We start from the raw sequence: 16,480 nt of genomic DNA, 5'->3' as shown, positions 1-16,480 counted from the left end.
TTCTCTTAGATTAAATTCGGCCTGATTCTAACTTTCAGTAGGCTTGGGTAATTTATTCGAGACACTGAAGCTTGCCTTTTGGGTTTTACTTATTTAACTGAGATGTTAGATTGAATTGTGCTGTTTATTTTTAAAGATAAAGAAACAAATTACCATGGCAAAGCCTAGCTGGTGGCCGAGGTACACTGCCACCATACTAAAGAGCTGGTGTCTGGAAGTCTTTTTGTGCATAGTAGGAAAGCACTAAATCACCCAGTGATTTGTGCTATCTGGCAGAGACCATCTGATTGATGTTGCATACATTTGCATAAATTAGTCTCACGTTTCTTCTTCCTGCTTAATGTTCTCAAAAGGAAGACTGCCCAGCCTTTGAGAATATTGAAGTCAGAAGGCTGAGCTGCGGTGGCCATCTGACATTGTGGAGTGCTGGCTTGCAATGAACCATGGTAATGAGTGCAGGGAGAGTACTGCACTCTTGACACAGGGAAGGCTAAACCCTCACTTGCTCCACAGAGGAGACATAATTTCTCTTACTTTTGCAGGGATACCATATATTTGGGGATGCTGACAGCTTAACCAACTAAAGACCTCTACTCTCTGATTTGGAAAGGGCATTAGATATAATGCTATTTCTGATTGCTTTTTCTTTTTGTTTTTAACCATATTTTATAGCCAAATAGAAACAGATGCATTTGCTCCCTGAAATAACTTCAGAAGATGTTTTCTTGAAACACTGCTGGTGAAGTAATGTGGTTACCCTACAGAAGTGTGGCTTACCAAATGCAAGCACACGGGTAGGGAGGACAAAACCCCCAAAGGAAAAACCCAGAAGGAACAGAAAAACAAAAGAACCAAACCCCTCGGTATACCCAAATACTTGTTTATATTCATCTCAGAGTATTTTGAAATAAAACATTATCTCCAGAACCTTTTGTGATTTGTGAAAATTTCCTTAAATTCGAAGTGTAGTGTTTACCTTTTGATAGTGAGTCCAAGTACCTGTTGAAGAGTAGGATAGTGAGAGAAGGATTTAAATTGCACAGGATGCAATAGGTCCTCAGAATTGCTAACTGTTATTTATTACCTTTTGGTTTTGCTGTAAGAAGTAGTTGGTGACAATATTACTTAAGTATCACCATCTAACAAACCACCCCAAATCTCAGCAACCTAAAATAATAATTCATTACTACTCATGAGTCTGTGGGCCAACTTGGCAGTTCTGCTGATTTGCACTGGGCTGGCACACATGTCTGTGGTCAGTGAGTAAGGTGGCTGTGTGCTGGATTGGTTAGGAAAGCTACTATGATATATTCGGCTGTTGGCTGGCTGCCAGCTGGGGCAACAAGATGATAGAACCCCTTTGTTCCTCATTATCAGACAGGCTAGCCCAGGCTTGTTTTCACTGTGGCTGGACAGGATTCCAAGAATGAGAGCAGAAGTGAAGCTGGACAGCTCAGAACTACCTCAACACCATTTCCACTTTAGTCCATTGAAAAAAGCAAACCGCAAGGCCAGCCCAGACTCAGGGAATGGGAAATCAGACTCCACTTCTTGATGGGAGGAGCCACACAGTCACATTGCAAAGGGTGGGGTGGATACAGGGAGAAGAGAAGAAATTAAGGAAAAATTTGCAATCAATATACTACAGGGATATCTCTAATAGTTTAATCATTTTTAGAAACTTTGCAGACAGACTTATCCGAGTACTGTGCCCCAAAAGATATGACTGAGCAATTAGATTCACTACAAGAATCTGATAAGTAACATGCGAAAAATAAACATCTTCAGTGTTTCAGAAGAATATGGCATAAATCTGACTTACGTGTTAAAACAGAGTCTTTACAGAAGGAAGTGAACATCACGGGTATGCCTTCTGCAAATAAGTATTGGTGAAAACCCATTTACTTTAAGTAGTTTCTCCTTTGAACAATTAAACTCTGGTCATTCTTCACATGAACACTGTCTGTTACCTGGGAAGTAGCCTAGAGGTTATCTAGTCTAGTGATTTTTCAATTCTGCTCAGTTCTGTGTGCACTAAAGTTTTCATGGAGGCGTCCCAGAGACCCCCTTCAGCTGTGGGGAAATGTTGGAGGGGAAGAGGGGGAATGATCTGGGATGAGAAATTCTTGGGCAAGTATGTCAGAGCTCTGAGTCCTGTACATGAATCCAATTCAATCAGGCTAGGGCTGCCCTTTCCTATTTTGCTTATTGGGTTTTGATAAACGATTTCACTGAAAGTTAATGTTTACACAGCTTTTGAAAAGGTTGGAACTCAACAACTAAAAAACAAACAACCCAATTAAAATATGGGCAAAGTACCTGAGTACACATTTTTCCAAAGAAGACATACAATGGCCAATAAACACATGAAAAGATGTTCAACATTATTAATCATTAGGAAAGTGCTAATCAAAAGCACAGTGAGATACCACCTCATACCCACTAGGATGGCTACTACTAAAAAAGCAAAAAGTAACAAGTATTGGTAAGGGTATGGAAAAATTGGTACCCTGTGTACTGTTAGTGGGAATGTAAAATGGTGCTAAGGATAACAGTATGGCCGTTCTTAAAAAAATTAAAACTAGAATTATCATATTATCCAGCACTTCTCCTTCAGGGTATGTAACAAAAAGAACTGGAAGTAAGGACTCAAGATATTTATATACCCTTATGTTCATAGTAGCATTATTCACAATAGTCAAGAGGTAGAAGCAAGCCAAATGTCCATGTTGGATGAATGGCCAAACAAAATGTATATCCATACAATGGAAAATTATTCAGCCTTAAAAAAGGAAATACTGACACATGTACAAGATAGATGAAGCTTAAAGACCGTATGCTAAGTGAAATAAGCCAGACATAAAAGGACAAATACTCATGTGAGGTCCCTAAAACAGTCAAATTCATAGACACAGAAAGTAGAATGGTGGTTACCAGGAGATAGAGAAGAAGGGGGAATGGGGAGTAAGTGCTTAGTGAGTACAATTTCAGTTTTGGAAGATGAAAAAAGTTCTGCAGGTCATTATCCTTAGTGGAATGACTGGAAAATAAAAAGTAAAACTCATATGTTCTCACTTATAAGTGAAAGATAAACAATGGACACTTGTGAACATAGAGAATGAAGACTCCAAAAGGTGGGAGGGTGAGAGGGTATGAGGGATGAAATGATACCTATTGGGTACCATGGACATTATTTGGGTGACGGATGCACTGAAAGCCCAGACTTTACCACTACAGAATATAACCATGTAACACAACTGCACTTGTACCCCTAAATCCTTAAAGAAAAGTTTTAAAAAAGGAAAAAAACAAAAAAATTCTAGAGATGGATGATAATGATGATGTCAGTACAGCAATATGAATATGCTTAGTGCCAAATAATGTCCAAGGACTTTTAAGTGGGCTGTACTTGAGTTAAACACCTAAAAATGGTTAAAATGCTAAACCTTCTATATTTATATTTTACTTACAATGGAATGAAACAGGTTGGAAAATCTCTGATCAAATCCAAATCCCTCATTTTACATTTGAGAAATGCAGACTTTGCCATTAAAAAAAAACTCATCAGAGTGGTACATTTGTTACCATGAACCTACATCAAAACCTCATCACTCAAGTTCATGGTTAATTTTAAGGTGTACTGTAGGTGGTGAACATTCTGTGGGTTTGGACAAATATGTAATGACATGTAGCCGCAATTATAGTATCATTCAGAGTATTTCCTCTGTGTTCTGCTTATTCATACCTCTATCTCCCCTAACCCTGGCAGTCACTGATAGTTTCAGTGTCTCCATAGTTTTTCCTTTTCCACAATGTCCTATTGTGGGAGTAATACAGCATGTAGCCATTTCCTATTGGCTTCCCTCATTTAGTAACATGCATTTCAGTTTCTTCTGTGTCTTTTCATGACTTGATAGGTCGTTTTTATTTAGTGCTAAATTGTCTGGACATATCACAGTTTATCCTACTGAAGGATATCTTGGTTGCTTCCAAGTTTTGCAATTATGAATAAAGCAGCTACAAACATCCCCGTGCAGTTTTTTGTGGACATAGTTTTCAACTTCTTTGAGTAAATACCAAGGAGTGTGTTTGATGGATTATATGGTAAGAGTATGTTTAGTTTTGTAAGAAACTGCTAAACAGCCTTCCAAAGTGGCTGTAACCATTTTGCTTTTCCACCATCAAAGAATGAGAGTTCCTGTTGCTCTGTATCCTTGCCAGTATTTTGTGTTGTCAGCGTTCTGGATTTTGGTCATTCTAATAGGTGTAAAGTATATCTCACTGTTGTTTTAATTTGCATTTCCCCAATGAAATATGATATCCTTTCACGTTTATTTCCCATCTGTATATCTTTTTTGGTGAAGTATTGTTAAGGTCTTTGACTTATTTTTAAATTGGGTTGTTTGTTTGTTTTTTTATTGTTGAGTTTTAGGAGTTCTTTGTATATTTTGCATAACGGTCCTTTATCAGTATGTCTTGGCAAATATTTTCTCCCAGTGTGTGTCTTATCTTTTCATTTTCACTTGATCTTAGCCAAAAGGCTGAGAAGCAATGTCTTTTCATTTTCTTGGCAGTGTTTTTCCCAGAGTAGAAATTTTCAATTTTAATGAAGTTCAACATAGCAATTATTTCTTTTATGAATCATGCCTTTTGTGTTGTATCTAAAATCATCAGCGTAAGGTCATATAGATTTTCTTCTATGTTATCTTTTAGGAATTTTATAGTTCTGTGTTTTACATTTACATCTGTGATCCATTTGGAGTGTTGTTGTTGAAGGCATAAGGTCTGTGTCTAGTGTGTCTAGATTCACTTTATTTTCTTTTTTATGCATGTGGCTGTATAGTTGTTTGAACACCTTTTGTTGCTTGTCAAAAATCAGTTGACTCTATTTATGTATGTCTGTTTCTGAGCTCTTTATCCTGTTCCATTGATATATTTGTCTATACTTTTACCAATATTTGGGTAGTGTCACTCCTCCAACTTTATTTTCTTCCTCAAATATTGTGCTGGTTATTCTGAGTCCTTTCTCTTTCCACATAAACATTAAAATTAGTTTGTGGATATATGCAAAATAATTTGCTGGGATTTTTATTGAGATTGTATTAAATCTATATATCAAGTTGGGAAGAACTGACATTTTGACAATATTGATTCTTCCTATCTCTGGGCATGGAATATCCATTCATTTATTTAGTTTTTCTTTCATTTGTTTTCAAAGAGTATAGCTTCCTTCATAAAGATCTTGTACATATTTTGTTAGATTTATACCAAAGTATTTCATTTTGGGGGGTGCTAACATAAATGGTGTTGTTTTAATTTAAATTCCACTTTATTATTGGTATATAGAAAAGAAATGGACTTTTGTATATTAACCTTGCCTCCTGAAAACTTGCTGTGATTTCTTATTAATTAGTTCCAGGAAGTTTTTTTGTTGTTGCTGTTGTCGATTCTTTTGAATTTTCTACATAGACAATCATATCATCTGTGAACACAGACAGTTTATTTCGTCCTTCCTAATCAGTATATCTTTTCTTTCTTTTTCTTTTCTTGTTACATTAACTAGGACTTCCAGTACAAGTTTGAAAATGAGTGGCGAGGGGGATATCCTTGCCTTGTTCCTGATCTTAGTGGGAAAGCTTCTGGTTTCTCACCATTAAGTATAATGTTAGCTGCAGGCTTTTTGTAGGTGCTTTTTATCAAGTTGAGAATGTTTCCCTCTATCCTTAATTACTTGAGAGTTTTTGTCGTGAATGAGTATTGTGTTTTGTCAAATGCTTTTTCTGTATCTATTAGTAAGATCATATGATCGTTCTAATTTAGCCTGTTGAAGTGATGGATTACATTAATTGATTTTGGAATATTGAAATAGACTTATATACCTAGGATAAATTTCAATGGGTAATGGTGTATAATTCTTTTTATATATAGTTGGATATGATCTGCTAGAATTTTGTTGAGGATTTTGCTGTCTATGTTTATGAGAGATATTGGTTTGTAGTTTTCTTATAATGTCTTTGTTGGCTTTTGTATTAGAGTGACGTTAGCTTGGTAGAATGAATTAGGAAGTATTCCCTCTGCTTCCACCTTCTGAAAGAGATTACAAATAATTGGCATAATTTTTTCCTTATACTTGTGGTAGAATTCATCAGTGAATCCATTTGGGCCTGGACTTTCCTGTTTTGGAAGGTTATTAATTATTGCTTCAATTTTAAAAAATAGATATAGGTCTAATAAGAGTGTCTATTGCCTCTGGTGTGTGTTTTGGCAGATTATGTCTTTCAAGGAATAAGCCCATTTCATCTACATTGTCAAATTTGTGGGCACAGAGTTGTTTATTATTGTTTACATGTCCATGGGATCTGTAGTGATGTCCCTCTTTCATTTCTGATATTAATAATTTCTTTCTTCTTACTCTTTTCTAAGCCTGACTAGAGGCTCATCGTTTTATTGATTTGTTCAAAAAAACAGATTTGGGATTCTTATCTTCTCTATTTCCTGTTTTCAGTTTCATTGGTTCCTGCTCTAATTTTAATTTGTTTTCTTCTGTTCCCTCTGGAATTTTGTTTGTTTGTTCGTTTTTGAGACAGAGTCTAGTTCTGTTGCCCAGATTGCAGTGCAGTGGCATTATCTCAGCTCACTGCAACCTCTGCCTCCTGGGTTCAAGTGATTCTCATGCCTCAGCCTCCCAAGTAGCTTGGGATTACAGATGCATGCCACCACGCCCAGCTAATTTTTGTATTATTAGTAGAGATGGGGTTTCGCCATATTGGCTAGACTGGTCTCAAACTCCTGACCTCTAGTGATCCGCCTCCTCAGCCTCCCAAAGTGTTGGGATTACAGGCATGAGCCACTGCGCCAGACTGTTTCCTCTGGATTTAATTTTCTCTTCTTTTTCATGTTTCCTAAGATGGAAGCTTAGATGATTTTTAGATCTTTCTTATTTTAAATGCCATAAGTTTCTCTCTAAGCATTGCTTTTCCTGCATATCACAAATTTGGCTAAGTTGTGTTTTCATTTTCATTTAGTTCAAAATGTTTTAACATTTCTTTTGAGTTTTCCTCTTTAAACCATTTTAATTAGAAATGTGTTATTTAAACTCCAAGTATTTTGTGATTTTTTCCAGTTATTTTTTGTTATTGATTGCTACTTTAATTCCTTTGTGCTCTCAGAGCAGGCCCTGTATGATTTTTATTCTTTTTAATTTGTTCAGGTGTGTTTTATGGCCCCGAATGTGGTTTACCTTGGTGAATGTTCCAGGTGAGCTTCAGAAGACCATGTATCCTGCTCTTGTTGAGTGAAATAGTCTATGGATATCAGTTATACTCAGCTGATTGATTATATTGTTGAGTTCACATGTGTCCTTACTGACTTTCTCCCTGCTGGATCTTCATTTCTGGTAAAGGAGTGTCTAAGTCTCCAACTATGATAGTGGATTCATCTGTATCTCCTTGAAGTTCTATCAATTTTTGCCCAATATATTTTAACACTTTGTTGTTAGGCACATATATGTTAAGAACGTTTATATCTTCTTGGAGAATTGCCTCCTTTATCATTATGTAATGCCTCTTTTTATCCATCGTAACTTTCTTTGCTTTGAAGTCTGCTTGTCTGAAAGTAAAATAGCTACTTCTGGCTTCTTTGGGTGAATATTAGCATAGTCTTTCTTCTGCATGATTTACTTTTTTTTTTTTTGACTGAGTCTCACTGTGTTACCAAGGCTGGAGTGCAATAGCGTGATCTGGGCTCCCTGGAACCTCTACCTCCCAGGTTCAAGTGATTCTCCTGCCTCAGCCTTCTGACTAGCTGGGACTACAGGCACGTGCTACCGTGCCTGGCTAATTTTTGTATTTTGGTAGAGATAGGATTTCGCCATGTTGGCCAGGCTGGTCCTGAACTCCTGACCTCAAGTGATGTGCCCACCTCAGCCTCCTAAAGTGCTGGGATTACAGGTGTGAGCCACCGTGCTTGTCCATCATTTACTTTTGATCTATGTGTATGTTTATATTTGAAGTGGGTCTCTTGTAGGCAATAGATAGTTGGGTATTAATCCATTTTTGAATCCATTCCAATAATCTCTGTCTTCTAATTGGTGCATTTAGACTACTGACATTTAAAAAGGATTATTGATATAGTTGGATGGATATCTACCACAGACACTTCACTTTTTTCCCCTGGCAACATAACTTGGAGGACTTTCCATATCAATCAGTACATGTAGATCATCCTATGATTATTTTAACAACTGCCTGCTATCCCACTATATGGATGTACCACAATTTATTTAACCAGTTCTATGATGACAGGCATTGAGGTCATCAAATCTTTTGCCCTTGTATCTATCTTTTTAGTTGTACCTCCCCTTCTGGACTGTTAGTGCTTCTGAGGGCATAGACTACAACTTACTCATTGTTGTTCTTTCAGAACTCTGCACAGTGCCCCAGCCTTAATATTACTACTTATTAAGGAAACGAATAAATGAATTTAGCAAGCTGGGCCCAGTCACTTTAGATTCTGGTCCTGATTCCCTATGCGTGGGCTTTCTGAGCATGGGTAGGTCACATCACCTTTCAGGCTTCAGTGTCAACACTGAAGTAAGTAGATAAAATGACACAGTGCTTCTAGCTCTGAACTCCTATGATTCCTGGTGTTAGACTGACCTAGGAGCTGATCCCCTTTTCAGTCTCAGGACTTGAGGTGAGGAAAAGTTCCTCTCCTGCTGTTGAATAAAGCCCCATCTTACCTGGGCCACCACTCAGAGCTTGGTCTGTTCAAAACCTGGTCATTTTCATTTGGGAGTAGACATGAAGGGTTGGCTGGTCCTTTAATCCTCAGGGCCATGTGAGGTGGCTCTGCACTGGGATGAAGATCTTTCTGTAAGAGGTATTTGCCTGGGCTACAGTGTCTGATACAGAGTTTCACACAGCCTAAGTGCTATTTGCATAAAATGTCCCCATAATGCAGGGCATTGTGCCTTTTCTGCAAAGAAAACCCATTAACAAAGGGCCTCACAATGATGGGAAAATGGATGTTAACATTTCTGCCTGACTGATAATCTCTGATGTTACCCTTGGGAAGCCCCAGCTTTCAGAATGATTTATTTGTCAGGTTTTGGCGTTTTTTTAGTCCCATAATCGGTTATCTGGCAAATGCAGCAGTGGGCAGTAGCAGGAGGTTCAGTGCTGGAAACAAAATTAAGAGAGTTTTATGTTTTCTGGGGATTTAGTTGTTTCTGTTTTCTGGGGTGAAGTTTTCATTTCAAACAAAATAGAAAGGGACAAAGAATCAGTAGGCTTTTTTGGGTTTGTTTTGTTGTTCTTTGCATGTCCTTTTTTCTTACTGCCAAACTCTCAAGTTGAATATTTGGCCCTCAGGGGTGAAGCTGGGGATGAGGGGTTTTTTTTTTTTTTTTTTTTTTTGACATTTCCTGTGATATCTTTGGTTTTATATTTCTTTGTTGTACAGAAACCTTATAGTGATATTATTGGAGAATTCGTCAGGTGATATCTTGGCAAGAGGCCAGAGCACAGTCTGTTTTGCTGCACATAACAGGCATTGGGTGGGAGAGATGCCCAATGGCCAGAACCTTAGAACTCCTTTCTGAGGGAGAATACAGGAGATTATTTGGATTAGTTACCTGCTCGCATTTTCCTCTTGCATTTGAAAGCATATTACCTCAGTTAAGGTCCCTGTGTGCTTCTATATAATGTCCATACATAGGATAGCTTTTTTTCCCCAGTGGCTTCTCAAAATCCCCCAGTTTTATGAAATAAATATTACACTTAATGCCTGAACTTTTGAGTCCAGGGTTCATATCAATAACATTAGCAACAGTGCTAATTATGGCCTCTAGTGGCTTCTCAGAGTTGGACAGAGTCTTTGTTGTATGGACGAAGGTCCACTTACCACTCAACAGATACATTATTTATGGTTGGCATTGAAATAGGTGTTTTGGGGTAGAGCATATGGTTTCTTCTCTCACTAGATTTACAATGTAAGAGAAAGAAGAAAAATTAACCATATAAGATAGATCTGAAGTCTGTTTTTGATTATGTCAACAAAAAGTCAAACTTTGTAAAATATTTGAAGACATTTACTCTGAGCCAAATATGAGTGACCAATGGCCCGTGACACAGCCCTGAGCAGGTCCTGAGAACATGTGCCACAGCTTGCTTTTACAAGTTTTAGGGAGACGAGGCATGAATCAATACATGTAAGAGGTACGTTGGTTTGGTCCAGAAAGATGGGACATCTAGAAGTGGAGGCTTCCAGGTCATAGACAGGTTGAAAGATTTTCTGCTGGGCAATTGGTTGAAAAAGTTATTATTTATAGAAAGGAATGTCTGGGTTATGAGAAGGGGTTGTGGAGACCAAGGTTTTATCATGCAGATGAAGCCTCCAGGTAGCAGTCTGCAGAGAGAATAGATTGTAAATGTTTCTTTTGTTTTCTTTCTTTCTTTCTTTCTTTTTGAGACGGAATTTTGCTCTTGTTGCCCAAGCTGGAGTGCAATGGCACGAGCTCAGCTCACTGCAACATCCGTCTCCTGGATTCAAGAGATTCTCCTGCCTCAGCCTCCCAAGTAGCTGGGATTACAGGCATGCACCACCATGCCCGACTAATTTTTTGTATTTTTAGTAGAAACTGGGTTTCACCACGTTAGCTATGGCTGTTCTCGAACTCCTGAACTCAGGTGATCCACCCGCCTTGGACCCCCAAAGTGCTGGGATTACAGGCATTAGCCACCATGCCCAGTCTTGTAAATGTTTCTTATCAGACTTAAAGAGTCTGTTCTAAAGCAATTCCAAAAGTAAGGAGGCTGCAATGAAGCATATCTAGTTCCCCCTTCCCATCATGTCCTAAACTAGATTTTTCAGGTTAATTTTTGGAATGCACTTGGCTGAGACGAGGGGTCCACTCAGATGATTGGCGGGGGCAGCAGGGAAGGGGGGGCACATCTTAAAATTTTATTTTTGGTTTACAATTAAGTACCAGGGGAGTGAAAGAAATAGTAATATATGCTGACTGTGATGTCCAAGATAATCTGTGTCAAGAGGAATCAAAACTCCATGGTCCAGATAGAGGACCCTTATATCTTTAACCTCAAAAATGTGATGTAACCTGGTGGGCAGCTCAGAGTTCAGACTCCAGTAACTCCACTGACAACACTCCCTGACCTTGAACTTGTCTCACACATGAAAGGTTTTTGCTCCATTAGGAAAGAAAGATGACTAAAATGACCTCCATCAGGGGGATAAGATGTCTCATTCATTAATTAAAGAAAAATTCTTCAGGGAGCCTTACACACTCCTTGGGATAAGAATTGCTAGAGCCTCCCTTCCGACTGATCATGAAACATGTTTTAGGACAAGGTTTTGGCACAGAAAATACAATCAGAATCTCTCCTACAAGAAGTGTAATTACAGGGGGCTTTGAATTGACAGTGGCTGACAAGATTTCAACCAGCGCGTTAGAAAATCAATGACAAACACGCTTTTCGACATCAGGGAGCTGTGATGGGCTCCGCTTGATTGACAGCCAGGGAGATATGTGTAACTATTTGCAGTTTACCTAATATTGGTTTATAGGCTTCTTTACTGGCCATCAACAGTGTTTCTCACTTTGCTCTGCCTTCCGTTTGCCAATTCCCTGTAGATGAGATGAAACTGAATCTTATTATCACTCCACCTTGAAGGGGAATTCAAACCCATCACTTTGAGGTCTAAAAAAAAGTCTCTAATCAACAGTAGGTAAATGAAAAAGTGAAGTAAAATATGATTCATAAAAACTGTTCCCACGCAATAGTTAAGCCGCTCTGCTGATTTAGACAGGGGCATGTTTTAAAAGTTTCTATCTCTATACTTTAAACAAATATTAAGAGGGATCAGCCATCATTTGTGTGTGTGTGCGTCTGCATATTTGTCACAAAGATATCTGCAGTTTTTCTAAATAAAAATGAAAATTTAAAATTGGCCTCATGGTTTTTTAAAAAGCATTTTCTAGTCACCCAGTTGGTTCTTAGAAGTAAAACTCAGAATATTCGTTCATTTTCTTGGCTGAACCCTACAAAACGTCTACTTTGCAGGACAAAAGCAACTGAATATTGGCAATTTCATAAGGATCAACCAAATAAACCAGCTAAAAGCCTTATGATATCTTGTGCATTGTGATTTCAGGAGCTCTGCAAAGGACCTATAACCTTAATACTAGATAAAACCACCTGTTCTGTAATCTAAAAAATGATTATATAATAATACATAGTAAATAGTATGTAAATAAAACATTGAGAACAACACATCTCTCAACCTGAACTAAAGTATCCATGACCAACATCAGAGTCATTCCTTGGAGCTAAATGAGGCAGGCACACAGCAGAGCCCAGATGGCATAAAGGGGTGGTGAGTGGAGGCACAGGGACATGGAAAGGGTGGCCTGTCCTCTGCAGAGCCTCTGGAACAACTCTGTCAATGCTATGATGCTTACCTTTCTGAAAGGTCATCCTCCCACGTTATAGTCAGTGTCTTGGCTGAGGAGTGGTGTTCCCAGATCTACATAGGTAGATTGCATAGTCACTGACTCTGCTGGGAAGAGACCGGGTTGTTTCTCATTCAAAGTCCTGACCGCTAAGATGTGACTGATCCTATATGGCCTTTTGGGCCAAAATGGAGAGACTAAAGACACAATTGAACAATGGCCAGACCACATATAAAAACAGAACACTGATCTAAAACCTGCTCCAGAAACCAACCCCCTTATCTACACTAACCAGCCCAGCAACAAGTCGAAACTGTAGGAGGCCAGATTGCTATCTCTAGTAACAGTCCTGAAAGCCAAAAAATCACTTCTGTATCAGTTGGCTCCAAATGGCCAGGACTTGATTAATAAATCACAGCTTATCCTCATTTTTGTCCCTGCTTCCAATTTAGGACCCACCAGAGAAAGCCAAATATGCTTCCCTAACCAATCCCATAGGATGCCCTGCTCTGAGTCTGCCCGCCTGCAGCCTCCCCATGCCAGCAGTCTCCAATCAGGACACACCTGATGCCTTCACTTCTTGCCACTGTGAAGCTCTTCCACTCCATTGCCTGTCTTTGAGTCTCTGCCAAAATGCAGTTGATGCTGGCTAACTCTCTTGTTATAGTAAGCTCTAAATAAACGGTCGTTCTGTTTTCCTATGGTTGGTCTTCGTTTATTTCCAAAAGACACTTCACCTCCCACCTGTGGTTCTGAACATCCGCACATTTTAAAGTTACTGCTTCATCAGCTTCTTTGTCCTGGCGCCAGGCCTCTGTCAGTCCTCAGGCACTGGAGGTTTCCATCCCCTCTGGGCCACTGTATACCAGGCGAGGGAGGCAGGAGCACTGCCCTAAAGCTGTTTATCTACGTTCCTTCCACTGCCTCCCTCTGACTATGGCTCTGGTGCCATTGTGGAGGTGCCCGCGGGTAAGGCGGGGGAAGCAGAAAAAGTCCCTTTTATTCTTGGTTGTTTCTAAATAATCCCCTTTCCGACAAGGTCAGGTGTAAAAAGTGGAGTGGGGATGAACGTTCCGGCTTCTGCTCTCCTTGCTTTCCCTTTGTGTCTCCTCCTGTCTCCTCCCCTAGAATCCTCGGGCAGACTTTGGGCTTCGTTCCCTTCCTCTGTGTCTTTTTGTCCACCTCCCATAAGGCAACACCCGTCTCTATGAAACATCCTCTACACTATGAAAGAAACAGTTCGGGCGCGGTGGTTCATGCCTGTAATCCCAGCACTTTGGGAGGCCGAGGTGAGTGGATCACCTGAGGTCAGGAGTTCGAGACTAACCTGGACAATATGGCAAAACCCCGTCTGTATTAAAAATACAAAAATTAGGCGAGTGTGGTGGCCGGCACCTGTAATACCAGCTACTTGTAGAATTGAGGCAGGAGACTCACTTGAACACGGGAGGTGGAGGTCTCAGTGCGTGGAGATCCCGCCATTGCACTCCAGCCTGGGCAACAAGAGAGAAACTCCTTAAGGCCCAGCACTTTGGGAGCCGAGGCGGGTGGATCACGAGGTCAGGAGATCGAGGCCATCCTGGCTAACACGGTGAAACCCTGTCTCTACTAAAAATACAAAAACAAAATTAGCCAGGTATGGTGGTGGGCACCTGTAGTCCCAGCTACTCAGGAGGCTGAGGCAGGAGAATGGGGTGAACCTGGGAGATGGAGCTTGCAGTGAGCCGAGATCGCGCCACTGCACTCCAGTCTGGGCGACAGAGGGAGACTCCATCTCAAAAAGAAAAAGAAAAAGAAAAAAGAAAAAAGAAAGTGTCTCTAGGTCTTGTAGAACCAAGTCTGCATCCACATCGGTAGATGACTAGCTGCTGCCCCAAGCCCCCTCATTGTCCCACCAGCGCAACCCCTCCCCAAGTACACCTGGAGTAACAGGTGGCAGCTGAACTCTGCTCCAATGGTAAGGCCTGGACTGTTCTCATTGGCTAGTACCTGGTCTATTCTCATTGGCTGGTTCCCAGTACTTCGGTTCCTGGACTGTTATGGTTCACTGGAGCCTGGTCTATTCTCATTGGCTGGTGATTGGCCTGTTCTGATTGGCTGGTGCATGTGCAGCACTGGTTGTTGAATAATTCAAATTTCGTATCTACCCTAACTCCTTATCTCAGGCTGCCTGGGAGGAAGGCAAGACATACAGAAGTGCAAATGAAAACACATGTGAATATTTTAAAAACTATTACTCCTTTATAAGCAGAGCTCCTAAACTCCTAAGCCAACCCCCAGTGAAGCTAGGTAAGCAAGGCGCGAGTCTTACTTTCTGCATGCCAGCATGTTGCATTGTGCTTACGGCCCACGCCCTTGAAATCAGACAAGGCTGTGCTCATTCCAGGCTCTGCCACTGACCAACAGGATAACCTTGGGTCGGCTATTGACTTGTCTGAGCTCCAGAGTCCTGATCTGTAAAGCAGACCAATGATGCTTACAGTGATGTGAGGATTTAATGAGGTGATGTGTAAAATACACAGCCCAGTGCTTGGTTGATAGACAGTACCTATTGGTATTTTTTTAAAAGGATTTTTTCCAATATTTTGAATTTTAACAGAATCTTATGAAGCTTTGGTGTAGAGTACATGAACATAATATCAACTTTGTGGATTTGAGTTTTAACAGCATGAGTTGGGGTGTTCTTATCAAGGTTCATGGTTGTAAATATGAGAGTTGGAGTCTGTCTTGCATAAGCAGAAGGCGGATTTAATACATTCATTCTCAATAGGGGTTACATTGCCCAGAGAAGGAGTGAAAATTAGTCTCTGAGGACCAAAGAAAAGCTTAGATATTGCAATAGTCCGTTACCCTCCACAGGGTCATCGTCTTTAAACAGATGTACTGAATATCTGTGATATTAAAATGTCATTGGAGGGGATGGGGAAATGGGAATGATCAGAGGAAAAAAAAAGTCTTAAAAAGTGTTTTAGTGGTTATGGGGGTGTGTGAAAAGGTTAAGAAACGTGGGAGGAAGTGGGTAGCTCTTAGAGTCTATGTGTCTGTACACTGGCCAGAATACCAGGCTCAGATCAGGGGACATCTGTCAGCCAGACAGAGGTAGGCTGGTTAGGACATGCCATGATTGCCACCAGGTCACAGTTATTTGGGCTCAGTGTCTGCCATCTTCTCATTTTCAGGCAGGTGTATTTCTTATCTTCTAATCTTTGACCTGCCTTCCGGGAGGCGAGTGGAGATGCCACTCATTCCTTTCAGGCTTTCCCTTTCTCCCTGAGGGGGATGGGTCCTTGGTTGCTAAGCCTGTTCTAACCTCTGACCAGTCTATGGAATTTTCTTGACTCATCCTTTCTTACTCAACTTTCTTATTCTCAGTGCCTCCTTCATCAACTGTGCTCAGGTTCCCTAAGAGGGGAGCCCATGGTTTTCTAAACTCAGACTGGAAAGGGTTGGGTAGCTGGGGCCAGGGAAGAGCAGGGGGCAACTGAACAGCTCTAGAGAGGCTTTTGTGGTTGTCGTCATCGGGATTGCCTGGCATGCTTCTTGGAGACAGTACTTTGTCTTGTCTGGCATAATTAGTGCATTCGTGTATTTTGTACAATGCTTTAGTGTTTAGCATTTCACATACGTTATCTTATTTGACAGCAACAACACTGTGATGGAACCCTTGTTATGAAATTCATCTTCTAACTGAAGACATATGTGTACAGGAAGTACAAACTATGAAGATATAAAGGTTCAAAAGGAGAGTTGGAAAGAATCAAGATGTATTGTACATTCTGAGACTAATCAAGGTCTTCTCTGATTTCAGTCCCAGTGATAATTAGGTAGCTCTGTCTTTCCTAAGTTGAATGCTCTGTGGCTACAGGGCTACTTGAGACATTCCCTCTCAGCCCTCATAGCTGGCTAGCTGGTTTCAACACAGTATTATTTATGTTCATAAAGTCCTGAAACAGTAGTGCCTCTGTCCCCCAGCCACATTAATCACTCCTCTCTCTGTGTGCGACCACTGAA

The 16,480-nt window shown here is 40.2% G+C and overlaps 2 annotated features.

Moving 5' to 3' along the window:
- Positions 927–986: an enhancer, noted in NCBI's record as "active region_26971". NCBI's record gives its function as "activates an Ori minimal core promoter by ATAC-STARR-seq in GM12878 lymphoblastoid cells {active_cell/tissue: GM12878}" and the evidence as "EXISTENCE:reporter gene assay evidence [ECO:0000049][PMID:35858748]".
- Positions 1,397–1,456: an enhancer, noted in NCBI's record as "active region_26970". NCBI's record gives its function as "activates an Ori minimal core promoter by ATAC-STARR-seq in GM12878 lymphoblastoid cells {active_cell/tissue: GM12878}" and the evidence as "EXISTENCE:reporter gene assay evidence [ECO:0000049][PMID:35858748]".

Source organism: Homo sapiens, chromosome 8, assembly GCF_000001405.40.
Source record: "Homo sapiens chromosome 8, GRCh38.p14 Primary Assembly".
Classification (NCBI taxonomy): Eukaryota; Metazoa; Chordata; class Mammalia; order Primates; family Hominidae; genus Homo; species Homo sapiens.
This window is presented reverse-complemented; position numbering and strand designations above follow the sequence as displayed.